The sequence below is a fragment of the Homo sapiens genome, chromosome 6 (genome assembly GCF_000001405.40).
Source record: "Homo sapiens chromosome 6, GRCh38.p14 Primary Assembly".
NCBI lineage: Eukaryota > Metazoa > Chordata > Mammalia > Primates > Hominidae > Homo > Homo sapiens.
The window spans coordinates 5,676,038-5,703,519 of NC_000006.12; the positions used below are offsets into that span (position 1 = coordinate 5,676,038).

The following is a 27,482-nucleotide window of genomic DNA, read 5'->3' on the forward strand; positions in this document are numbered from 1 at the left end:
AAGATAACTACTATTAAATTTGGTTAGGCTCATATAAAAAAAAATAGTAAAATGGCAGTCAAAACAACCTGACTCAAGTTTGTGACAGAAAGGCTTAATTTAGCACAGCCCATTTATGTACGCAAGAAGCTTTTCTTAAGGACACTCAAAGATGTCAGCTCCAGTCCTAAAGGAAACACACTTGAACCGAGCGTGAGATGAATGAAGGGATTCTGCTCTTGTCTTTTATAGATGATTTCATTTATTTGATTCTTCTCTTTCCTCCTACATTCTCAGATTAGGCATGGCCTTCAATTGGATTTTGTATTCGTTAAATACAAACAGTACACATATTAGACTGGATACATATTTGCAAATTTGGATTTATATAATCTATTTTAAAATTATGAGACTAACGATATATTTTATTGCACATGCCTGTGGTGTCCGAGTCTGGGATCTGCTTTAATTCTCAATAACATTCAAATAAAACCATTGCAAAGAGCAGAGCTAGCAATAAGGACATTTACAATGTCACATGAAGGTGGACTGTATGCCACATGCCTTATAATCATATATTCAATGATTGCAAATAGGATTTTTATAGAAAGTGCTCACAGCAGTTAAAAGAATTATATCTGAAGTCATATTTCTGAATGTGAGACTTTCATTTTGTTTAATTATCTATTGAATGCTCCCAAACTTACTAGGACTTAGTGTGTGCTTTTATTCTATGTTAGAGAAAATCTTGGTAGTCAATCTCAAGTGTATGCCCCGTCTTATGACTGCGAGATTCCCTCTCTCATTCTGGTATTGTCCTGTGATATTTGCTGCTTTCTGCAATCAATATAGACAGACTTGAGCCAACTTAAATGTTGTCTCAATATTTACCTAGTACAAAGAAAATTCCATTTGAGAAAACCACAGAGTATAGTCATTCCTGGAACAACCAGGAGATGGTTATTATCATTGGAAACAATTATTTTTAAAAATCAATCTCAATTCAGAGCCATATGTGTATTTAAAGTGCCCACACATCTAAAACTGTTTTCAATTAATTTCATGAAATGTTATTTTTTCATTTAAAACAAACCAAAGATGATTAATTTTTATATAACCAAAGATGATTAACTTTCATATAAATTTGTGAATCATAACAAATTCTTGAGCAAACCATGTGTCTTGCTTTCTTTTTATATTGGCATGGTATAAATACTGAGAATCAAAGCAACCATAATTAAAAAGGCCTGGTCTGAAGAGGAACCGTAAAGTAGGTAAGGTTTGTGTTCTGCTTTCTTCTATCTCCTCCTAGCTCCCATTCAAGTTATTTCTTCCGGCTTTCCTCTCTGGCAAGGTACAAATGCTCCTGCCTCTGCCTCGCCCCTTCACACTGTAATATTGGTTAAAGAACTTGGCAATGAACCAGCGTAATCAAATTCCTCTGGCTAGACTTCTCTGGCAGTAGAGCATTTAAGTGTTCTGCTCCAAATACTTTCCAACAATCAGAACCAAGACACCTGTGTGGGAGCCAGTGCCACAGGTAAGTCCCTGTTAGTGACAGTGGCCTTGCAGTGATGCTTTGGGAAATTATCCTGGCTTCAATGAGTAGGACAGAGAGGAGTGGCTACCCAGCCCATGCAAAGCCAAGCAAGGGGCTGTAGTCAAAGAGTCAAAGGCAAGAGTCATTGTTCTTCCCTGTGAGCTTATATAACAGAGTGTGTGTTCATTTCTCACACATATAGTTTTATCTCGCAGCTACTTGAAGGGTTCACATGTCTGTTTGCTGACTTGATTGTGAAATTCCTGAGGGTAGGAATTATGTCTCATGCCCAGCACCAAGGAGGAGTGCAGTAAATGGGTGAGGAATGAATGAGTGAATGAATCAGTCTGTCAGGCAGTCTGTTAATGCAGATGGCAACAATGAAAGTATGGATTCGAATGGCATCTTTGAAAATTGCAAGAAATGGATGGATGTGGAAAACTGAGAGAGAAAACTAAGAGAAAAGCAAGAGAGATCAAGGCATCAAAGCCTCCGAGGCTTTGAGCTGAGCAAAACGAAGAGCCTGGGAAGCAGTCGTAGAAAGGGGGAACTCAGTGAGAAACCTCATGAGGGAAGCCAACACATAAACAGTTTGTCACAATCTCTTTCTCAAAGAAGCATCCTCTAAAAGGTGCCTGTGTTTCTAGCCTCCCACGTCCCCTCCCCTTACCACACCTCACCCAAGTTCCTGGAGGTCTGATAAGCAGCCAAGACTATTTTGTAGACTTAGCAGATGTCCATGTTTTAAGGGACATTTCCATCAACGCTTGAAGGTTGCCATCCTTTGTAGACTTGGGAGGAAAGGTGGATGGGAGGGAGATAGGAAATCTGAGCTGGTGCCTTGAGGAGACGCTTTGGCCTCCTGGAAGAGGGTACTTGTTGGCTGGGATTAGCCCCTCAGGCCATGGCTTCTTTCAGAGGCACTAAGTTTACATCAGAGAGGACATACTTTTATAGTCTGCATTGTCAGTGCTGCGCCCTCAACCACTGCTGCAGATAGCCTCTTACTTTATAAGTAAATAATCTCTCAGGGAAGAGATTCACCTCATTTCACACATAGCCATCCTTTGTAATACGAGGGCTGCTTGCACTCTTCTTGGCCTCTGGAGCTTCAAACATGTCTCATTCCCACATCCTTCAGAAGGGCCAAAGAGGGACCTACCTGGCTGAGTGGTATGGAAGCTAGGAGGGAAACACCCTGGTACGTGCTCTTTAAAGTCTGTGAGTTACAGAGAGAATATGATAAATAATTCATTTTCTATTTTAAGCCCCTCTTTCTCCAAAGTTTTGGAATGAGCTCTGTAAATTTCCCAAGAACTTCTCTGAAAGTTCTACCAGCTGACCGAATGCGGAAATACCTGCTGTGTGCTTCCTGGAGATTTTCCCCACTGTCTGTTTTATGACCTGGTGAATTAGGCTGCAGTCTTGTCTTGATCCAGAAGTGGTGCCCCTTGGATCAGAAGGAATGTCTGAAACACATTGATTTGTGGCTGGAATAGTAAGCTAAGCTCTAGGAACATCCTGCCAGAGGCTTGTCCTTAGGAAATAGTCTCACAAATTTTTTTGCTGGTGAAGAGATGACATGCTGCAATTGACCTGTTGAAGGCCAGAAAACCGAGGTGACAAAGCAAACCTCTCAGTTTCTAATGCTTCCTTCAGGCTATGCTTTCTAGGGGTGATACCCTCTATATCCTGAGAGACCTTAGCTGCACAAGACATTAAAACTTGGTCCTCAAAATGAGTGATACCAGCCTCTGGAACATAATTGCGACCAAAATGTGTCCTGGGGTCACCAGCCTCCTTCTACCCTTCCCTCTAAAATCCAAATAAAAACATTAAGCCCTACTGCACTGGCCTGCCCTGTTGAGTGCTTTTGCAGATTGCCTGGGGTTATTTATGTCCTCCTGCCTCCTCCAGCTCTAAATTCTGGCTTCAAGACCCTCCTCCATCACCCCTCTGTCAACACTCCCTGGGTTGTTAACATGTCCACAATACTGATCGCCTTACCTCCCTCTTTTCCCAGGGTCTCCTAAACAGTACAATGCCTTTCAAAAGAAATAATGGAGAGGAAACTATTAAAATTGAATTTCCACATTGCAGTTTTGACAGTTTATCAGTGATTCATCACCATAATCTCTTACTCTCCATCCTTGCCCTGTGAATAGATTCATACCTGGAAGCAGCCGTCTCTTTAGAAAAGCTTCTATCCTTTCCTGGTTTTTCCTGAGTGCCTGGTCCTCCCAAAACTCCTATCTTTTTTGTCCTGACTCAGAGGAACCCTCACTTCCCCCACCCCCACCCCCCAACGCACACATTTCCTTCATAACAACACCCTAGAGTGAGATCCTTTTACTTTCCGTTTTACTTCCCGGTTCCTGAGGGCATTACTTTTCATAAGAAAATTCATCAAAGTGTTTTCCTAAAGAGTTGTTCTCCCTCTAAAGTTGAATTTCATCCTCCAACCCAATATGGAAACAGCTATTGCCAGGTATATGTCCACAGCAATCTTTCCTTCTTGCTACATAATCACAGTTATTTTAATGATTATTTGATTTTCTACAGAATGTAGCGTAGCTCTGATGCTGTTAGGGTCTTGATGAAGGCATTAGAAACAATGCTTATGCTCAGAGCACTTGTGTGTGCTTGGACGTTGTGTGAATGTGAGCAAAGTTGTACTTCAGTGAAGGTGCCCAACCAACACTGAGACACATAACCAGGAAAACAAGGCTGCAGCTGATGGTCAGAGTAGCCACGGGTTAGGCATGAGTAGCCATGGGTTACGCATAAGCATCCACACCACCAGCTTGGGCAGCTGTCACCTGCCATTGTTTATCCACAGGGCCAGCTAGAAAAGGATTTCTGGTAGGCATCTCTATCAACAACACAGGTGAACATAGGGAAAACGCTAAATGAGAATTATGATCAACTAGAAATAAAAGGAAAATCAGTCCTCCCTGTATTTCCCATACAGCTGCCCCATCGGTCCTGCCATCAGCACCACATGAGGCGTATATGGAAGATGGTTTATTGTTACCTTTTTATTAGGCTGCTTCTAGAAAATTCAGCAAGTACCCACAGTCCTACCACCTAATCCATAACCCCTGGTCAACATTTTGGTATATTTCCTTCTAATTTTGTTTTCATGCACCTCTTGTTTGTTCTGCAAAAAGTACAGACGTTGTCTTTTTTTTTTTTTTGCTTCTACAAAGTACTGTTACAGTAGCTCCAACAACCAGTGAAAACAAAATTTGTTCTAATAGAAAAATGAGCAGCAGCTCAATAAAAACAGTTCACTAAACAGTTGATCTACACTTACAGCCAGAAAACAAAATGTAAAAGTTTTACCTCACCAGTAATCAAAGAAATGTAATTTAAAATAATGATTCCATTTTTCATCTACAGTTAAAAATATAAAAACAATAATATCTGCTTCCGATGAGGAAGTAGTGACATAATCGCCCTCATAGAAGGCCGTGTTGAGTGTAAATCTCCAAGTTTGTGTTTTGTCAACACGAATCAGCCTGGAAGTGCCCATACCCTTGATCTGGTAATTCTGCTTCTTAACAATCTGTGCTAAGAGATTTATCTGAGAAAGGTTCAAAGATGTCTGCATTCTTCTTTATTAGACTGAAAATTTGGAAGCAACCTGAATGTTACCTATTGAGAAACAAATACATTATAGTTTATTCATCTGGACAAGGAACTATTTTGCAGGTATTTAAAACATCTTAAAGAATAGCTGTGCACCTTTGAAAAAAAAAGTTCACAATATAACAATGGGCTTAAAGGGTAAAGAGAAGAATATGTGACCTAGTTCACATTTTATAAATATTCATGTTATGTCCATGAGGGAGAGCGGGACAGCAGATCCAGTTTTCACAATGGTTATCCATGGCTCACAGGACTACAGGTGATTTTTACTTTCTTTATGCCTTCCCGTAGTTCCCAAATTATTTTCAATGAGTATTTCATTTGTGTACAGGGGGAAAAAGTTACTTAAAAAACGGAAAAAGAAGAAAATCACTCCTTTGCAGCAGCTTATGAAGCATTTTAACAACGAAAGGTGGGGAAATCCCCAAGATAGACAAGCCCTTTCTTCCCCTCTGACTTTGGCTGATCCATCTGCTGACAAACTGCTGACTGTATTCTCAAGAGATCGAAGAAATAAAACAGGCTCTAGCAAGGCCTTTGTTGAAGTCTTCTCAGCTTCCTTAGAGCTGTTGCTTCTCCCCCTCCCTTCCTTCTCTGGATCCCTCCCTCTTTTGGTGCTTTTCCTGAGGCTGGTGGCTACATTTGTTTGGTGCTTGAAGTCATTCTTTCATCAATAATTTGTAAAGTGATTTAGAGCTTTCTAACAGCAACCTACAGTTTGCTCTAATAAACTAACGTGGTAAAGAGTCGGAATTCAGGCTGCTGGGTGACAGACCAGCATGCCATTTTACTCTGCCCTGGTCAGCATGTGGTTTTGGTTCTGCTAAAAGGACACTTCCGACTCTACCTCCATTTGTTTAGCATTTCTACTCTCAGTGAACTTTTAGTAACTGAATGCCCAAAGGAGGAGACTACAAAAAGCAAATTATAGTACATCACCTTGATGGAATATTACCTAGCTGTTAAAAATGACAATAACTAGGTTGCAGCATCAAAAAGTATTACCAAAGAAAAACAGGAAACAAATTAATATCTATATATAGTTACAACAATGTAAAAATATACATTTGTATTGGAAGGAAATAGAGGAAGCAGGGAAAAAGAAAATTTAATGGCAGATGAGAAATTTTTTAAATTCGGCAATAAATATTGAAATTTCATCATATACCAGACACTATGCAAGACCCTTGTATTTTTTTAAGGTAGTTTAATAATAAGTTGTAAAGAAGTATAAAGTAGGGGTGGTGGAATTCATTTGCAAAGATGTTATTATGGGCAGCCTGGCTCTATCCGAAGGGAACACTGAATGTGTCATTCTTTTCCACACTGAATTTATGTAAAACGTCCTGTGCTGGACTCCAGTTGGTCTGTTCAGTCCTTAGTGAGCAGATGGGGCTTTTCCCCCTTGCCTTGCATGTCATTCTTTTATCCATGCACTCAATAGGTACGGAGCCCTGCTGTCAGCCAGGTCCTGTTCAGCTGCAGCTGATACATAGGGACCAGGATGACAAGGCTCTGCCCTCATGGAGCTTCCAGGCATTGCGAAAGACAGACACTAAACTAAATAAGTGAATAAGTTCATCTGCAGTGTGATTTCAAGTAGTGACACCCGCAGTGAAGAAAAGTAAAGGAGTGTGTGGGGCAGAGAGTGAAGTGAAAAGCAGTAACTCATTTTAAGGAGAGTCAGGGAAGACTCCTGAGAAAGCAGGGAAGTAAGGGACCATGGAAAGGCTGGGGACATAGCGGGAACAGCACGTGCAAAGGCACTGAGGCAGAACCGAGTTTGACATGGCTGTGGGAAGAAACGTGTTCAGAGAGGGAAGCAGGGGCTGGGACATGTAGGGCTGTGTGGGCCTCAGCCTGGGGTCTAAGTGAGATGGAGGGTTTTAAGGGGTGGGACAGATTTACTCATTTAGCATGTGATCTGACTTATTGAGAGAATGGACTGTCAGAGAAGAGGGTAGCAGAGGGCTGTTAGAGGCTTTCAGCCGTCTGGGTGGCCTGGACTGGGAGGGCGGGCACAGGAATGGAGAGAGTCAGGGTCACTCTGAAGGCAGAATGCACAGGGCATGCTCTGTAGGGTGTGAGGAAAAGCCAGGAGACAAGGACACATCCTGGGTTTGGGACTAAGTGAGCAGGTGAATAGTGATGTCATTTTCTGGGAGGAAGAAGGAATAGGTTTTATTATTCCTGGGTGAACATTTGCCTAGCTTTGATTCCAGTGTGCTAAGTTAGTCTGGGAGCTGCTCCTCACTCCCAGAATTCCCTGGCTGTCTCTTCAGGGCAGGAAAAGGATTTCTAGGGATACAGGAGAGACCACCAGCCTAGGAGCTGGGAAACGTGAGTCTGGTCCACCTCTGCTACAAAAGAGCAGTGTTTTTTTGTTTTTGTTTTTTTCTTTTTTTTTTTCTTTTACTTTAAGTTCCGGGATTCATGTGCAGAACTGCAAGTTATTTACATAGGTATACATGTGCCATGGTGGTTTGCTGCACCCGTCAACCCGTCATCTAGGTTTTAAGCCCCGGAGGCATTAGATATTTGTCCTAATGCTCTCCCTCCCCTTGCCCTCTACCTCTCGACAGGCCCCGGTATGTGATGTTCCCCTTCCTGTGTCCATGTGTTCTCATTCTTCAATTCCCACTTATGAGTGAGAACATGTGGTATTTGGTTTTCTGTTCTTGTGTTAGTTTGCTGAGAATGATGGTTTCCAGCTTCATCTGTGTTGCTGCAGAAGACATGAACTCATTCTTTTTTATGGCTGCATAGTATTCCATGGTGTATATGTGCCACATTTTCTTTTTCCAGTCTATCACTGATGGGCATTTGGGTTGGTTCCAAGCCTTTGCTCAAAATAGCAGTTTTATAGAGAGATTATAACTTTCCCCCTCAGAACGCGGTTTCTTGTATACCTGCCCGGCTTGCCTTTCAGAGCTTTGTCAACCGCTTAAAGCCTAATTCAGGTGAATAACGGTGTCATCATTGTTACCTGCATTCCTGTGCATGAGCAGTCACAGCCTGGGTCCTCAGAGGACCATCCCCGATGTGCCAGCTGTGTTCATAATAAACCCCACTGACACGTCCCCGGCCCCTCACCTGGTTCTGCCGCACGCCCATCACCTGCCCAGCCCTGCGCACTAGTATGCAAAACTACAGCTGAGAAAGAGTCCCTTCAAGAGTGAGACCAAGGGATGATGTCCTTATGAATCCCTGAGTATCCAGAAAATTAAACTGGCATGTCATTCTCTGAGGATTTCTGCCAACTAAGGTGATTCGCTTGTTTTCATGATCACTGCCCTCCTATGTTAGCAAATGCTGCGCTTTATTTCCAAGAGCTATTTCCATCACCCTTACCCTAGAGTAAGCCAGCTGTATAAACAAAAAGCTGCAACAAGGAGCTAGCTTCACCCTCCAAGCACTGCTTAGTGCTTCCAGTCAGGAAGCTTCTTTCTCTCTCTTAAATACCATCTCAAAAATCCCAGTACCTGTCACCTAAAGGAGACATCTTACACATTGAGTGGAGAGGTGGAATGGATGTTGAAAGGACAATTTAGGGAGCTAATCTCAGCCATCAGATGTTTTTCTTGCTAACAGGAGCCGAATTCTATTATGTTTGTGAAAGGACTCTATTAAGACAGGTTTCTGTCACTCCCAGCACTCTATTTAAGCTTCTGAAGTCATTCAGATTGCCCATTCACCAGCCAGGGAAGAATTTGTGTGCCTTCCCCCTTAGCAATCAAGGAAAAAAGATTAAGTGGAGCCGGAGAGCAATTTTCTTTATAATTTCTCTTCTTGAAGTAAAGAAACTCAGAACCCTTGACCCTAAACACCGTGGAACCCATGGAGGCTCATGATATCAGTGTGTGGGGTTGTCACTTGGAGGCAGGAGGCTCTTCACAGCCAGCCCAAGAAGCAGCAGAGGCAGCCGCAAGCAGAATGGAAGCAAAAGGGGAGGGTTCCTATCATTTGGGGCCAGAACCAATCAATAGTTTCCTCACATCTGCCATTTCAAGGAAGAATTTTTTTCCCTTGTACGTATAGTTGCTTTTTCATAAAGGATTCATTATTTTTGAGCCAGGTACAGGAACTAAGATCCCCCCTTGGTTTCCTCTGGGTCTCTTCACACTAAAGTATTGAAAAGATTTAGGTGGGGAGATCCAATGGCTGGCTTCAGAACTGCCCTGTCCAGTCCTTCCAACCCATCCTAAATCGTGGCCACGGAGGTGAGCAGTTAGGCCTCTTTGCAACACCCTGCAAGTCACTATTGCACCAGGGTGGCTTTAGTCCTGAGGTGACTGGCCCACTGTGTGACTGCAGTGAATGAGGGGTGTCCTCAGGACCTGGCCTACTCTGCTGCACAGTGTAGGCAGAACTTGGATTGGGGAGCAATTTAAGCCAGAGTGACTCTGGGCTGGAGAAGGCATTTTAAATTCTACCTGGAGTAGATAAAGCGTACGAGGTTTTTGCTTTAGGCCTAGGGGGCTGGACGCTGGGGTAAGGGGAACATGCTATACCCTCTCTTGGACCAGCTACCATAGGCCTCACCCAGGACCAGAGCTGAGGCCGCACTCAAGGGCTTCCTAGAAGAGGCCCATATTGGGCCCCTTCCTATTCAAGTCTAGTTGCTTGACAATATTTCCTCCAATTTTAAGGTGAGAAAACTCTCCTTGTATTAGCAAAAATGAAGACTGTAATTTTTAAATGATGTTATTTAGATTGAATAACTTTAGAATACTCTTCCCACAAGACCACTCGGAGGATATTCAGATCACTTCTGCTGCCTCAGGATTCCCACGTGAAGGGTGAAAATGATGCCGGAGCTGAATTTACAGCTCCCAGAAGCACGCCCAAGAAAGACTGGTGGATGATGAGATTTCATCTGTTTCCCCTGCATTTCTTAGCACAGTGCCTGGGCCATAGTGAGTGCTCAATAGATGTCTGCAGAAGTCATGCAGGTTTGATATTGTGGATGATAACAGTCTTTCTTTCTATGAACTTTTTTTAATTATTATTATACTTTAAGTTTTAGGGTACATGTGCACAACATGCAGGTTTGTTACATATGTATACATGTGCCATGTTGGTGTGCTGCACCCATTAACTCGTCATTTAACATTAGGTATATCTCCTAATGCTCTCCCCCCCCGCTGCCCACACCACGCAACAGGCCCCAGTGTGTGATGTTCCCCTTCCTGTGTCCATGTGTTCTCATTGTTCAATTCCCACCTATGAGTGAGAACATGTGGTGTTCGGTTTTTTGTCCTTGCTATAGTTTGCTAAGAATGATGGTTTCCAGCTTCATCCATGTCCCTACAAAGAACATGAACTCGTCCTTTTTTATGGCTGCATAGTATTCCATGGTATATATGTGCCACATTTTCTTAATCCAGTCTTTCATTGTTGGACATTTGGGTTGGTTCCAAGTCTTTGCTATTGTGAATAGTGCCACAATAAACATACATGTGCATGTGTCTTTATAACAGCATGTTTTATAATCCTTTGGGTATATACCCAGTAATGGGATGGCTGGGTCAAATGGTATTTCAGTTCTAGATCCCTGAGGAATTGCCACACTGACTTCCACAATGGTTGAACTAGTTTACAGTCCCACCAATAGTGTGAAAGTGTTCCTATTTCTCCACATCCTCTCCAGCACCTGTTGTTTCCTGACTTTTTAATGATCGCTATTCTAACTGGTGTGAGATGGTATCTCATTGTGGTTTTGATTTGCATTTCTCTGATGGCCAGTGATGATGAGCATTTTTTCATGTGTCTGTTGGCTGCATAGATGTCTTCTTTTGAGAAGTATCTGTTCATATCCTTTGCCCACTTTTTGATGGGGTTGTTTTTTTCTTGTAAATTTGTTTGAGTTCATTGTAGATTCTGGGTATTAGCCCTTTGTCAGATAAGTAGATTGCAAAAATTTTCTCCCATTTTGTAGGTTGCCTGTTCATTCTGATGGTAGTTTCTTTTGCTGTGCAGAAGCTCTTTAGTTTAATTAGATCCCATTTGTCAATTTTGGCTTTTGTTGCCATTGCTTTTGGTGTTTTAGACACGAAGTCCTTGCCCATGCCTATGCCCTGAATGGTATTGCCTAGGTTTTCTTCTAGGGTTTTTATGGTTTTAGGTCTAACATTTAAGTCTTTAATCCATCTCGCATTAATTTTTGTATAAGGTGTAAGAAAGGGATCCAGTTTCAGCTTTCTACATATGGCTAGCCAGTTTTCCCAGCACCATTTATTAAATAGGGAATCCTTTCCCCATTGCTTGTTTTTCTCAGGTTTGTCAAAGATCAGATAGTTGTAGATATGCGGCATTATTTCTGAGGGCTCTGTTCTGCTCCATTGGTCTATATCTCTGTTTTGGTACCAATACCATGCTGTTTTGGTTACTGTAGCCTTGCAGTATAGTTTGAAGTCAGGTAGGGTGATACCTCCAGCTTTGTTCTTTTGGTTTAGGATTGACTTGGCAATGTGGGCTCTTTTTTGGTTCCATATGAACTTTAAAGTAGTTTTTTTCCAATTCTGTGAAGAAAGTCATTGGTAACTTGATGGGTATGGCATTGAATCTGTAAATTACCTTGGGCAGTATGGCCATTTTCATGATATTGATTCTTCCTACCCATGAGTGTGGAATGTTCTTCCATTTGTTTGTATCCTCTTTTATTTCTTTGAGCAGTGGTTTGTAGTTCTCCTTGAAGAGGTCCTTCACGTCCCTTGTAAGTTGGATTCCTAGGTATTTTATTCTCTTTGAAGCAATTGTGAATGGGAGTTCACTCATGATTTGGCTCTCTGTTTGTCTGTTATTGGTGCATAAGAATACTTGTGATTTTTGCACATTGATTTTGTATCCTGAGACTTTGCTGAAGTTGCCTATCAGCTTAAGGAGATTTTGGGCTGAGACGATGGGATTTTCTAGATATACAATCATGTCATCTGCAAACAGGGACAATTTGACTTCCTCTTTTCCTAATTGAATACACTTTATTTCCTTCTCCTGCCTGATTGCCCTGGCCAGAACTTCCAACACTGTGTTGAATAGGAGTGGTGGGAGAGGGCATCCCTGTCTTGTGCCAGTTTTCAAAGGGAATGCTTCCAGTTTTTGCCCATTCAGTATGAAATTGGCTGTGGGTTCGTCATACATAACTCTTATTATCTTGAGATACGTCCCATCAATACCTAATTTATTGAGAGTTTTTAGCATGAAGTGTTGTTGAATTTTGTCAAAGGCCTTTTCTGCATCTATTGAGATAATCGTGTGGTTTTTGTCTTTGGTTCTGTTTATATGCTGGATTACGTTTATCGATTTGCGTATGTTGAAGCAGCCTTGCATCCCAGGGATGAAGCCCACTTGATCATGGTGGATAAGCTTTTTGATGTGCTGCTGGATTTGGTTTGCCAGTATATTATTGAGGATTTTTGCATTGATGTTCATGAGGGATATTGGTCTAAAATTCTCTTTTTTTGTTGTGTCTCTGCCAGGCTTTGGTATCAGGATGATGCTGGCCTCATAAAATGAGTTAGGGAGGATTCCCCCTTTTTCTATTGATTGGAATAGTTTCAACAGGAATGGTACCAGCTCCTCCTTGTATGTCTGGTAGAATTCGGCTGTGAATCCATCTGGTCCTGGACTTTTTTTGGTTGGTAAGCTATTAATTATTGCCTCAATTTCAGAGCCTGTTATTGGTCTATTCAGAGATTCAACTTCTTCCTGGTTTAGTCTTGGGAGGGTGTATGTGTCGAGGAATTTATCCATTGCTTCTAGATTTTCTAGTTTATTTGCATAGAGGTGTTTATAGTATTCTCTGATGGTAGTTTGTATTTCTGTGGGATCAGTGGTGATATCCCCTTTATCATTTTTTATTGTGTCTATTTGATTCTTCTCTCTTTTCTTCTTTATTAGTCTTGCTAGCAGTCTCTCAATTTTGTTGATCTTTTCAAAAAACCAGCTCCTGGGTTCATTGATTTTTTGAAGGGTTTTTTGTGTCTCTATTTCCTTGAGTTCTGCTCTGATCTTAGTTATTTCTTGCCTTCTAGCTTTTGAATGTGTTTGCTCTTGCTTCTCTAGTTCTTTTAATTGTGATGTTAGGGTGTCAATTTTAGATCTTTCCTGCTTTCTCTTGTGGGCATTTAGTGCTATAAATTTCCCTCTACACACTGCTTTGAATGCGTCCCAGAGATTCTGGTATGTTGTGTCTTTGTTCTCGTTGGTTTCAAAGAACATCTTTATTTCTGCCTTCATTTCGTTATGTCCCCAGTAGTCATTCAGGAGCAGGTTGTTCAGTTTCCATGTAGTTGAGCGGTTTTGAGTGAGTTTCTTAATCCTGAGTTCTAGTTTGATTGCACTGTGGTCTGAGAAACAGTTTGTTATAATTTCTGTTCTTTTACATTTGCTGAGGAGTGCTTTACTTCCAAGTATGTGGTCAATTTTGGAATAGGTGTGGTGTGGTGCTGAAAAAAATGTATATTCTGTTGATTTGGGGTGGTGAGTTCTGTAGATGTCTATTAGGTCCGCTTGGTGCAGAGCTGAGTTCAGTTCCTGGATATGCTTGTTAACTTCCTGTCTCGTTGATCTGTCTAATGTTGACCGTGGGGTGTTAAAGTCTCCCATTATTATTGTGTGGGAGTCTAAGTCTCTTTGTAGGTCTCTAAGGACTTGCTTTATGAATCTGGGTGCTCCTGTATTGGGTGCATATATATTTAGGATAGTTAGCTCTTCTTGTTGAATTGATCCCTTTACCATTATGTAATGGCCTTCTTTGTCTCTTTTGATCTTGTTGGTTTAAAGTCTGTTTTATCCAAGACTAGGATTGCAACCTCTGCCTTTTTTTATTTTCCATGTGCTTGGTAGATCTTCCTTCATCCCTTTATTTTGAGCCTATGTGTGTCTCTGCACGTGAGATGGTTTCCTGAATACAGCACACTGATGGGTCTTGACTTTTTATCCAATTTGCCAGTCTGTGTCTTTTAATTGGAGCATTTAGTCCATTTACATTTAAGGTTAATATTGTTATGTGTGAATTTGATCCTGTCATTATGATGTTAGCTGGTTATTGTGCTCGTTAGTTGATGCCGTTTCTTCCTAGCCTCGATGGTCTTTACAATTTGGCATGATTTTGCAGTGGCTAGTACTGGTTGTTCCTTTGCATGTTTAGTGCTTCCTTCAGGAGCTCTTTTAGGGCAGGCCTGGTGGTGACAAAATCTCTCAGCATTTGCTTGTCTGTAAAGGATTTTATTTCTCCTTCACTTATGAAGCTTAGTTTGGCTGGATATGAAATTCTGGGTTGAAAATTCTTTTCTTTAAGAATGTTGAATATTGGCCCCCACTCTCTTCTGGCTTGTAGAGTTTCTGCCGAGAGATCCGCTGTTAGTCTGATGGGCTTCCCTTTGTGGGTAACCCGACCTTTCTCTCTGGCTGCCCTTAACATTTTTTCCTTCATTTCAACTTTGGTGAATCTGACAATTACGTGTCTTGGAGTTGCTCTTCTCGAGGAGTATCTTTGTGACATTCTCTGTATTTCCTGAATTTGAATGTTGGCCTCCCTTGCTAGATTGGAGAAGTTCTCCTGGATAATATCCTGCGGAGTGTTTTCCAACTTGGTTCCATTCTCCCCATCACTTTCAAGTACACCAATCAGACATAGATTTGGTCTTTTCACATAGTCCCATATTTCTTGGAGGCCTTGTTCATTTATTTTTATTCTTTTTTCTCTAAACTTCTCTTCTCGCTTCATTTCGTTCATTTGATCTTCCATCACTGATACCCTTTCTTCCATTTGATCGAATCGGCTACCGAGGCTTGTGCATTCATCACATAGTTCTCGTGCCGTGGTTTTCAGGTCCTTTAAGGACTTCCCTGCATTGGTTATTCCAGTTAGCCATTCATCTAATTTTTTTTCAAGGTTTTTAGCTTATTTGCAATGGGTTCAAACTTCCTCCTTTAGCTCGGAGTAGTTTGATCGTCTGAAGCCTTCTTCTCTCAACTCGTCAAAGTCATTCTCCATTCAGCTTTGTTCCATTGCTGGTGAGGAGCTGCGTTCCTTTGGAGGAGGAGAGGTGCTCTGATTTTTAGAGTTTCCAGTTTTGCTGCTCTGTTTTTTCCCCATCTTTGTGGTTTTATCTACCCTTGGTCTTTGATGATGGTGACGTACAGATGGGGTTTTGGTGTGGATGTCCTTTCTGTTCATTAGTTTTCCTTCTAACAGTCAGGACCCTCAGCTATAGGTCTGTTGGAGTTTGCTGGAGGTCCACTCCAGACCGTGTTTGCCTGGGTATCAGCAGTGGAGGCTGCAGAACAGCGGATACTGGTGAACAGCAAATGTTGCTGCCTGATCGTTCCTCTGGAAGTTTTGTCTCAGAGGAGTACCCGGCCGTGTGAGGTGTCAGTCTGCCCCTACTGGGGGATGCCTCCCAGTTAGGCTACTCAGGGGTCAGGGACCCACTTGAGGAGGCAGTCTGCCTGTTCTCAGATCTCCAGCTGCGTGCTGGGAGAACCACTGCTCTCTTCAAAGCTGTCAGACAGGGACATTTAAGTCTGCAGAGGTTTCTGCTGCCTTTTGTTTGGCTATGCATGCCCCCAGAGGTAGAGTCTACAGAGGCAGGCAGACCTCCTTGAGCTGCAGTGGGCTCCACCCAGTTCGAGCTTCCTGGCCGCTTTGTTTACCTACTCACACCTTGTCAATGGCAGGTGCCCCTCCCCTAGCCTCGCTGCCACCTTGCAGTTTGATCTCAGACTGCTGTGCTAGCAATGAGCGAGGCTCCGTGGGCGTAGGACCCTCCGAGCCAGGCGCGGGATATAATCTCCTGGTGTGCTGTTTGCTAAGACCACTGGAAAAGCACAGTATTAGGGTGGGAGTGACCCGATTTTCCAGGTGCCATCTGTCACCCCTTTCTTTGACTAGGAAAGGGAATTCCCTGACCCCTTGTGCTTCCCGGGTGAGGCGATACCTTCCGCTGCTTCGGCTCATGCTCGGTGCGCTGCACCCACTGTTCTGCACCCACTGTCCGACACTGCCCAGTGAGATGAACCCGGTACCTCAGTTGGAAATGCAGAAATCACCCGTCTTCTGCATCACTCATGCTGGGAGCTGCAGACTGGAGCTGTTCCTATTCGGCCATCTTGGCTCCACCCCCCTTCTATGAATTTCTTAGGCTGTTTAAAATTTATCTCAACCTCAGCTGCCAAAGTAATAACTAGCCCTTTTTGTATCTTTTGGCAAACCATATATTCACTGCTTTGGCCTGGGGTTCCCTTTCCCGTCCATCAAAACATTGGCTAAGTACTCACTCTGCACCACACACTGGGCTGGGCACTGTGAAGTCATGCTCAGAACTGACTTTGATAATAGGATTTTTGAAAACTAGATTGAAGGAAAATAGATAGGCAAAAGCTAATGGGCTTAAAAAATATACTGCTTAATGGTTAAAAATCTTAATCTGTTTATGTTAAACAATGTTAGCAGAGGAATATGAAATTATTTCTATAATGTATAAAAATCGATAATAGATGCTGGTGTGAAAATACATGTAATGACGAATGTATTGAATTTGTAACCTGTGAACATGTGGGATATGATGTGTGTGCGTCACTATTTTTATATCCTTGTATGTTGGTCAAGATATTTAAAAGGTGTCAGAAAGGCCAAATCAGGGGTGCTGTCACCAAGCCCACCAAGTTGCTGCCAACCCTCCCAAGCTTCAGAGGTAATACTCTGGCTCTTTATCCCACCTCCTTTTTTTCTCCCCACCAGAAATGAGGATCCTTATAGATTCAGGTTAGTCAATACCATATTTCCCTTCCCCATCCCGTTGTTTTGTGTTAGACTTTGTATTAGAGAATTTGTATTTCATCTGTTTTGCAAAACAAATATTAACAATAAGTTATTATTGTACTCTTCTGGCATAGTAACATCCTGTTAGTTTACTTTACACATAGCAAATCCAGCCTGACATTCATCTTTAATGATCTCAGGATAAATGGTTTTAAGGTTAAACAGCCACAGAGACAACTGTCACACGTTGTCAGCTGGAACAGATGAAAGAGAAAAATGTGGCATCTGAAAAGCAACTTGCAAAATGATCTAAATATTTTACTTTATTTTCAGAAAACCCTCACCAGATCTGCCCCCTCACCACTAATCCTGGAGCAGCCTGATGACTTATGGGGAATCCATTGCTTAGCTTTGATGTAGGGAGGGAGAGATGAACGACTGCCTCCCAAAGCGTGGCTGCTGAGCAGGATATTAATGGGCAAGGCGGCTAATGCGTTTGCATTGTTCTGCAGAAGTTTTGCACTGCTTTGGGGAATCATTTATCCTTAGCAGTTGCAAGGTGGCCTGTTTTCAAGTAAACCTAGAGTAAAAATCTGGTTATCTATTGCCATGTAACAAACTGCCTCAAAACTTTGTGACATAAAGCACTGATTTTATTGTGCTCACGTGTCCTTGTCTCCATTCTGTGATGCTGGGGCCTTGTCTGGGAAGACTCGAAGACTGGGAGTGACTGCTTGGCTAGGCTGGGATGAGGCATCTTTACTTACACATCTGGCACTGGACGCTGGCTGGCTGCTGGGACTTGCTGGGGTGATGGCTGGAGAACATTTCACCTCTCCAAGCGGCCTGGCCTTCCTTACTGCAGTGTCTTCTGAATTGTTAGCTTCCTTATATGGTAGCAAGTGTGCAAGTCAGCAGGTGGAAGCTCCGCTATCTTTGTCACCTAGCCTCAGAAGTCACATAGCATCATTTCCACCGCCCTCTACTAGCGGGAGCAGTCATAAAAGCCCACCCATTTTCAAGGCAAGAGGTCATAGCCTGCGCCTCTCAAAGGGAGGATTGTCAAAGCCGCACTGGAAGATCATGTAAGTTGGATGATAGCATTGCTGCTGTATTTGAGAGATTGTGCTGTGCTCTATGTAGAGGTTTCTGTAGGAAATAAACAAGTTGAGTTCTCTGGTGAAAACACATCTGAAAACATGTTAATAGGAATATAGCTAATCCTTAGCATTTCTTATAGTAGCTAAGGTCAGTGTATGCTAGGCCTGGTACCTGAGCAGCAGTCTTGATGCTAAGTTAACAACAGGTAGCCAACAGGAGTGTTTTCTAGCTATTTGGAAATTGAAATTCAACCAAAAAAGCTACTGCCACTCTGAATCAGTTACATCATGATACCTTAGATCTAGGCTACCTTTTTTCCTGAATAATAGAAGGTTACATTGATTAGAAATTATGGGGAAAGTAGATTCCTTCATATAAGAATTGGTTAAAGTTTGACTCTGTTCTCTGTTAAAGTAAGCAGCTTTTTAAATAATTGAGTTCTTTGGAGGAGTTTTTATATTTTATATATTTTTTACCTATTTAGCCATGATAAATAGAATCAGATAAGAGACCGAGTGTGAATATTCAGCACGACCTTCAACCAGGTGTATATATTTCTCTCTATGTTCTAAAGGACTCAGCAATGTGTAGTGCCTATGAGTTCTCATTTGAAAAAGGAGGAATCCTATATGGAATGCCATGTAACGGCCAGGTGCAGTGGCTCATACCTATAATCCCAGCCCTTTGGAGGCCTAGGCAGGAGGATTGCTTCAGGCCGGGAGTTTGAGATCAGCCTGGCAACATAGTGAGAACCCCCCACACCTCTACAAAAAAAAAAAAAATTAGCCAAACTTGCTGGCACGCACCTGTAGTCCTGGCCATTGGGGAGGCTAAGGTGTGAGGATCGTTTGAGCCCTGGAAGAGTTCGAGGCCGCAGTGAGCTATGCTCACACTATTGCACTACAGCCTGGGTGATAGAGCAAGACCCCATCTCTAAAAGAAAAAAACAGATATATATAAATGCCATGTAAGCTTTTACACTTGTATTTCTTGTCTCAATTCTGGTTTTTTCTTGAGCAATTTCTTCTTTTCATTCTCATGAAAGTTAAGGTGATGACGCTGTGCTTACCCACAAACTGTGTATCCACGTAGCCTTCACTGCCATTTGTCCTGAGCCTTTTCAAGAAGCATAAATCCCAGAATGATCGAAACATCTCTTAGATCCCAGAGTGACTTAAGATCCATGCTAGGAATTAATCCTGCTTCCTAGGAAGTTACACAACAGCAGCATTTGTGGCAGTGCCACAGCAAGCCAGGGACTGGCCCACGGGCGGTACGCTGTCATTCCCAGTGCTTTCTCTGCCTTCCAGAGAAACAGGAATTTGCCACATGTCTGTGACTCATTTGCTGGAGCTGTTAAGTGGTGATGGTGTTTAAAATCTCAGGGAAGTAAAGCCACCATTTACTGAACACTTCCTGTGTGCCGTGCACTCAGTTGTAACCACATTATTTTACTTGGTCTTGACGAGAAGCCTTTAAAGGCACTTTTATTATCCCAATTTTACAGATGAGGAAATTGAAGTTCTGGGAGGATGAGTAACTTGTAGAAGGTCACACCATATATAAGTAATGGACCCAGCCTCTCCAACTACTCTCAGCTGATTATAGAGATTAAATTAGAAGCAGTTCTTCCTTTCTTGGAAAAGTAAACCTAATGGGGAACTCAGAAGCCATAAAGGAAAAGAGTGATTAATTTAGCCACGTAAACATTTAAGGCTTCTGCTCAACAAACCGCACCAAAAAATTGGATCAGGAATGTATAACAAACTAGTGGGTGGGGAAGGAGACTGCCAGGCTGTGATAAAAGGCCAATTTTTTAAAACATAACAAAAAACTCTTCAACAGTCGGTGAGCACGAGACATACAGACTGCTGTGAACATGGGACAGGATGCTCAGCCTCACTCATGATTAGAGAAATACAAATTATTTGCTGCAAATGACATTTTCAGCTGTAGGTTTGACAAAGATTTTAGAAGTGGATAATGTTCAGTGCTGTCAAGCGTGCAGGACAACAGGTACCCTCCATCTACATTGTCTGTGGACATGCAAATCGGTACAACTCTATATTAAAACTGAAAATACACACTCTTTGACTCAGCATTTATTTATTCCACAAATATTTTAATATAGGTATTCAAAGATACGGGTACTGCAATATTCATTGCAATGCCAGAAACTTCATCAATAGAAGACTGATTAAATAAATTGTAGAATGTTTGTACTAGCAAACACTAGTAGCCATTATTATTTTTTATTTGAATCTTGTTTTATATTTTAGCACTTTATACAGCTTGTCTCATTAAGTATCACCCAGCTAAGATTTTTTTTATAGGGCATGGCACATATATTTTGTTTTGTTTCCTTATATTTTTGCTCTGGATCTCATGTGTAGCCAGTAGAGATATGAAATTAAATATTCCACAATAGGTATGGCCCCTCAAGTAGCCATTATAAAGTATTCTATACACCATTAAGTAAAGAAAACAAAGATGTATTGAAAGAACTAAGGTATAAAATATTCTATAAATTATTCCATTTTTTGTTTGTATGAACATGTAAACCTTTGTGCATAGGAAATATCTATAAAGATAGAAAGGAAATCATTAACAATTATCTACTGAGGACTGGAATTGAGGGTATTATCTACTTTGCAGTTCATATGCATACAATTTAAATTTTTTACTATGAACATACATCATTTTTATAATAAAATGCTCATTTCTAAAAATACAATGTGGAAGACATTCATTTATTAGGGCCCTGTTTGCAAGAAGCAGCATAAGTAAATCATCCCATGTTGACAGATAAAACTTATCCAACCATGGAGAACAGATATCAGTGACTTAATAAGCAGTAAAGATAATAAAAGTTTTAGCAAAACCAGCTAGAACCTCTTGGGAGTGAGTTTCTCTAGCTAGGTGAGTTCTTCAGCCTAGCAGAAATAGGAGAAAATAGTTTTTTTGGAAAGATACTTTCTGAAGTCTTATCCAATTCCATGTATACGTTAATACCTTTTTTTTTTCTATTTACAAAGTGACACATTGATTGTCAAAATTTGGAAAATACCGGTAAGCTCACATGGGCTTTATTTTTAACAGGCTACAAATTTAAATACAGATAACAATTGCAAGATTATGTCTAAGCAAAGAGAGCAAATTGATGGCCGAACTGATGATTGATTAGAATGACTTTTGTCTTTTTAAAATTGAGTTATATAAGAGGTGAAGGAAACAGACCGATGGCTGGAGAATTTGACAACGTATAAGAGAATCTGAGAATTCCTTTGAAAAACGCTCAGATTTCCAGCCAAGATAGAGTCACATCCACCATTGAAGGGAATCTTAAGCCATCATTGCATAAAACTTTGGAGATGAAAGACTTCTAACTCCTTCATTTTACAAAGAAAAAATTGGGCTCTAATTTTTTCATTAATTCAATTTAAAAATAATGAGTATCCAATGCAATACTCTTTCCACTTCCTGACCCTGTCTGATGCAAGAAGAATATTTTTCTAGGACATTCCTCATTATTGACTTGAGAAATAAGTATGGCTTTCAACAAACAAAGGCAAAATCATGAGATATAACTAAAATTGATGATTCACCTTTGAAGTAGTTTCAGGTCATTGTTTTAATACCTTGTTCACACAGAACCTGTTTTGCATTCATTTGCAGACTTCAAATATCTCATTTCAGGGTAAAGTTTAGCTGAGTGGCATTAGAGCCCTGTGAACTCTCCTTGGTTGGGCATGAAGTGAGAGGTCTGAAAAGAATATCAAGCTAAATCCTCAACTTAAAAGCAACACTTGTTTTTTTAATTTAAAAAAAAATCCAATATTATTTCAATTTTCTTCGCAGCAGATTGTGTCATGCTCTTTAGTTAGAACTCAATGTAGAAAATGCAGCATGGGTTGAAGTAGACAGCAGAAGTGAAAGCCAAATAATGATGTCTGATTCTCGCTCGCTGTGATATGGGAGGACAAGGGAAGAAAAGATAAAGCACCACAGCCAGCAGCACTGATTTAGGAAATATCTTACTCACAAGGTTTATTAGACTCTTCTTGCACTGCTATAAAGAAATACCTGAGACTAAATAATTTATAAAGACAGAGGTTTAGTTGGCTGTTAGTTCTGCAGGCTGTACAGGAAGTATCATGCTGGCATATGCTCAGCTTCTAGGGAGGCCTCGGGAAGCTCACAATCATGGTGGAAGGCCGAGGGGCTGCAGGCACGTCACATGGCGAAAGCAGGAGCAAGTGAGAGAGAGTAGGGGGAGGGAGGTGCCACACGCACCAGAATTCATGAGAACTCACTGCGCCATGACGGATCCACCCCTAGGATCCAAACACCTCCCACCAGGCCCCACCTCCAGCATTGGGGATTATAACTCAGCATGAGATTTGGGCAGGGACAAGTATCCAAACCATATCACAAGGAAAGCTTCCGGAGCTGAGGCAACCCTTCTAACATGTGAGGTCTTGCCAAGTTTCACCAGTGGTCCTGGAGGTTAGGTGAGTTATTAGGATCAAGATCTTCAAGCAATGTCCCCCATATAAATGGAATCTGGGCAGTTCTCCAGCAGGCTCACCAGGCCTCATATCACCTCTGCCAGGCTCCTGGACCTGGCCCACAGGGTGTGGGTCCGGCTGATTAGTGTATCAGTCAGGATCGCCCAGGCTTGTGTTGCAGTAACAAATCACCTGAGAATCTCTGTGAACTCACCCAACAGAAGTGTGTTTCTCACTCTGGCCATGTGTGGGTGGGGTGCCCTCTGCATCATTCTCACACACAGAGCTGGTCTGTGGGGGATCTTCTCTCTCGGTTGTTCCTGGGGCTGCTGGGCTGCAGGGAACCAAGCCACACCACCTGCGTGTCCTGCCAACTGCTAAGGGGCGGGCACAGGCAATTCCCCCATGTGCCTGGAAGCAGAGGGAAGGCACTGTGCTGTGCAGGTAACTCAGACTGCTGGGAAGGGCTGTATATCAAAGTAGACTACAGTTCACAGGGTCTTTGGGATCCTGGTAGGGCCTTTTACAAGCCCACCCCATAGCAACAGCCCCCTGTAGAGTGGCATTGAATGTGATAGGGTTACTTCTCCACAGGGAGCCTGCTACCAGGAATCATTCAGACTTCTCAAGCCCTTCTCTTGTTCTCTCTCATTAACTTCTTTAATGGTCTCCTTCCTCATTCCTTCCCCTTTAAGTCTACTTCTGCTAAGGGATGCTTGATTCCTCTTTGCACAGTTCAGCTTTGGTTACATCATTTCCTCACACAGAAATGTTTGGAGGTTTCCCTTTCTCTACAGTTTTGCAACTCAAACTTGTCCATAGACCAGCAGTATCAACATCAGCTGGGGTCTTGCTAAAATGCAGCCTCTCAGGCCCCACCCCAGACCTGCAGAATCAGGGTCTGGATCTTAACAGGATCACAGGAGATTTTTTTTTTTTTTTGAGGTGGCGTCTCACTCTGTCGTCCAGGCTGGAGTGCAGTGGCGCGATCTCGGCTCACTGCAACCTCCGCCTGCTGGGTTCAAGCAATTCTCCTGCCTCAGCCTCCCAAGTAACTGGGACTACAGGCACACACCACCATGCCTGGCTAAGTTTTTGTATTTTTAGTAGAGATGAGGTTTCACCATGCTGGCCAGGCTGGTCGAGATTTCATACATTAAAGTTTGAAAAGCACTTATGCCTAGTACTGGGTCTCAAATTTGGCAGCACAGTTGAATTATCTGGAAGGCTTCAAAAACTGCCAATTCCCAGTTTCCAGGTCTGGACTGGGGCCTTGCACCGAGATCTTTTAAAGCTCTCAGGTGACTATCATGGGTGAGAATTTGAGAACTCTGGAGTTTAGGAACTCAGGGGACACTCCCAACCACCTATAGTGTGGCTCCCAAACCTTCCCTGTGCCATCTTTCACTCTAACTATATCGACTGACCTCCAGTCCCCGAACGCTCTATGCTTTTATATAATGTGTTTTAGACTATTAGCAGAAGTCACCAGGCATTGTACATGCTGCCTTCTCATGACTGGAGAGGGCCTAGGATGACTGCATCTAAATTTTTCATTGAAAATGCCACGGCTACAAGTCACGGAGACATAAATACATGCATTCACTCAATTGTACATTTAGTTTTCCTTATTAGTAAAATGTAAGGCTTGATTCATCCAGATGACAGCTTACTGTGGTACTATGTATCTTTTTTTGTTTTAGTCTTATTGAACGTCAAAAATATGATGGGGAATTGGAAGAATATGCTTGTTTCATTGAGTTAACTTTGGGAGTTATAAACTGAGGAGCTTTTAAAAATATATATATCTCAGTAGCAGTGGCAATTTCTTTTTTTTTTTTGAGATGAAGTCTTGCGCTGTCACCCAGGCTGGAGTGCAATGGCACAGTCTCAGCTCACTGCGACCTCCACCTCCCGGGTTCTCCTGCCTCAGCCTCCCAAGTAGCTGGGAATACAGGTGCGCACCACCATGTCCAGCTGATTTTTGTATTTTTAGTAGAGACGGGGTTTCACCATGTTGGCCAGGCTGGTCTCGAACTCCGGACTTTGTGATGCACCCGCCTCGGCCTCCCAAAGTGCTGGGATTACAGGCGTGGCCACAACTGCTTTTCATTACTCTCACTGCTTCACCTCCACCTGTGATCAGTGACACACGTTTGAGAGACACCTGGCTTTGGAGACAGAAATCAGGATCCTTGACCTCTTTATTACCTTTCCTAATGGAATGAGGTTGCACACGTGGGCCGCGCTCTGCTGCACACCAGCAGTTCAGAGAGTCCTGTCGTTTGGGGGAGCACTCCTCTGTCACTACAGCACCTATTGTTGTAAAACCTTACCCACTATTTTTTCCAAACGACCTCAGATAAATACTTTACTTGATGTTTTTATTCGCGCAAGGTGTTAATTTCTAACAAGACTTTTATGAGCACAGCAAGCAGCAGTTGCTTTTTCATGTGAACATTAAATAAGACTCAAGGTATGAAAAGCCTGCTGCAAAGGGTCCAGAAGGATCTATGGGATTTGGTGGGCTGCAGCAGACAAATGGCCTGCCAGTCTGTGACAAGTGTGCAGTCACCGTGGGCGCCAGCCTTGGGAGGCACAGGATCCGCTAAGTCGTCGGGATTACCGGGCTCTGCCCCTAGCAGCCCCCGGAGAGTTAGGGCCCCGTGTGCACATCTCTGCAAAGGCTGTTGGTCAAACACATGAAAAGCCGGTGTTAGTGGTGTCTGCCTGAGCCACCGTAAATCACCTCTCCCTCTGGGCTGCCACTGCACCTTGTCTGTGCACAGTCTGGAGGCGTGGGGCGTGTGTCATTGGGGGAAGCATGCAGTTCAGGGTCCTGTTATGTCCATATGAATGTGAACGTGAAAGCATTTCCTGGCGCCTCTGTGCTGGGCTATTATTGGGACCAAGGACTCACACACAACAGTGACATCATCCAGGCGCAGAATAGATTGTACTGAAACGTCAGAAGCCAGATACCAGGTTCTCTCTCACAAACAGTTGTTTTAAGTGCCAATATCAAGGCTTGACAGTGTTAGTGCTGGCAGGACTTTTGTTTTTCATTATCCCCATCTTCATCCCTAAACGAACAGTAGCAATGCAGAGAAATAGTCATTAGAATGAACTAAATTAAAATCAGGAAGCAGTTAACTTTATGTCGACTCTAAGATAATGTTAGTAAATAAAAAGGCTAATTGGAATTCTCAGTATTCTAATAAGAACTTTTTATTAGTAGGTTATTTGTGCTTTAATGGGCTGCTCGTGGCATGTGGTTGAGTCGTGATGCTTTTCATTACTCATTTTTATTAACATATACGGTAAATATTAAAATAGATCTCGGCAGCAATAACATAGGTAGAAAATGATGGGTGGCTTGTCAGATACAAAATACAGCAGCATACTTACAGATGTGTTCTCATGATTTTCAAATTTATGTTGGCTATTTTTTAACTTTGTCAAGCCTTTCTCTGACTTCTGCTTTATTGTACTGCTGTTCTTGACATTCCTCCCTTTCCCAACCAGATGGAAACTTTGGTGTAGCTTATAGAAGGTGTCCCAAAAGCTAGGACTTTGACAGCCAATGATATGTATCTTTTTTAAATATTTCATTCAGAGTAAGCAAATGAGCAACAGCAAGGGAAAAACACATTTTAGTATTTTTCTCCCTGTTAGACATTGCTTGGTGCTTTTTAACTAGGATACCAGAAAGCGAAGTATTTCAAAGTGTTCCTTTAGCAAACTATATATGCTCAACCAGATTTCTAGTAGCATTTTTCTTCAGTGTTTAAAAAAGTGAACTTTTAACTTTTACTTTCTATTCTTCTTATCCTTCTGTAAGTGATATGTGTACTTTTGGCCCTGTTTAGAACAGATAAAATATAACTTTAATTTTTCTTGGATAATTAAAATGTTTTTCTAATGGGTTGTAATCCATAATGTTTCTAGAATTTGGTGGAAAGTCAATTCACTAATTTAATGGATTAGTGTAGGTCAGTTCTTACTGTAAACTTTAAAAGGTATAAGAGCTCCAGGCTAGATTGGAACTTGTCCCTAAGTCATAGTTGGGGAGTTTTTGTTTTATTTTGTAAAAACACTCATCTCACGTTTCCTAAAAATGAAATAAGGCAGCAAAATAATACTCATCCAAGGATTCTGGTTACTTGGGTTTTATAGCTAACTAGGATTTTATTTTGGTTTTCCTTTCCCTTTCATGCCCCCAAACATTTAGGACTAAGAGAATGAGGAGGGAGGCCCAGGCTGGAGGGCTCCTGGACAGGGTCTTGGGGGGACTTATCTTTCCTGTACCCCCTGGGATGTCACTGTGTTCACCCTTGGGGACACCAAGAAATTTCATATGAAGGGACTTTGGTGGAACTCCCACAGGCCCTGCTTTGGTTTTGTGGATATCGGCTTTTCAGTGTTACGGGATCCTTCTGCTTCAAAGTAAAACTAGGTCTGAAATTTTCAAGCTCAAAAACTTCCATAGGTAAAACTTTTAATGGAAACAAATTACTTTTTTTAAAATTGAAACATTTGTCAAAAGCAAATATAGCTGCCAAGCCTGTGGATTATACATTTTGGTTCCAAAGAGTGATGAACCTCTGGTAGCCACAGGGATGGGAGATTTTCACACTGTTGTGATTCTGAAGTCACCAACTTAACAACTGGAACCAAGCACAATCCACGCTGTTCAGTGCCTTCTGACTGTCTGCTTACTCTCCGCTGGGTGCTGAAAAGCCCAGCCCACCTGTTGCTTAAGACCCAGTACATTATTTTAGAAAATAAGGTTTGTGGGTCCCTAGTGGTCTCTGTGGGCTAACTAGTGGGTCTGCTGGCAGCTTGGTAATTTTAGAGGAATATGAAATATAAGATCAATTGTGATTTTTGCAGCTATCCCATTGTATTCTTAGTAACACTTTATAGCAGATATACA

The 27,482-nt window shown here is 42.1% G+C and overlaps 1 protein-coding gene and 1 long non-coding RNA gene across 14 annotated transcripts in view; one reads left to right on the top strand and one right to left on the bottom strand.

The window, feature by feature from the left end:
• The window catches only part of LOC101927950 (uncharacterized), a 30,288-nt gene extending 11,053 nt beyond the window's left edge, over nt 1–19,235 (bottom strand). Inside the window, exons 1-2 of the long non-coding RNA NR_110842.1 lie at nt 19,108–19,235; nt 18,845–18,971 (exon numbers count right to left, since the gene is read on the bottom strand). This is a non-coding gene — a long non-coding RNA (uncharacterized LOC101927950). The remainder of the gene's footprint in view (nt 1–18,844; nt 18,972–19,107) is intronic.
• The window catches only part of FARS2 (phenylalanyl-tRNA synthetase 2, mitochondrial), a 521,650-nt gene that overhangs the window by 426,104 nt on the left and 68,064 nt on the right, over nt 1–27,482 (top strand). The window contains exon 7 of one of the 13 annotated variants that reach the window (XM_011514248.4): nt 17,271–17,598. The exons of the other annotated variants lie outside the window; for them this stretch is intronic. Within the exon in view, the coding sequence (XP_011512550.1) occupies nt 17,271–17,304 (34 nt within the window). The 3' untranslated portion in view covers nt 17,305–17,598. Of the gene's footprint in view, nt 1–17,270; nt 17,599–27,482 lie in introns of those variants that run through there. 13 annotated transcript variants of the gene reach the window in all.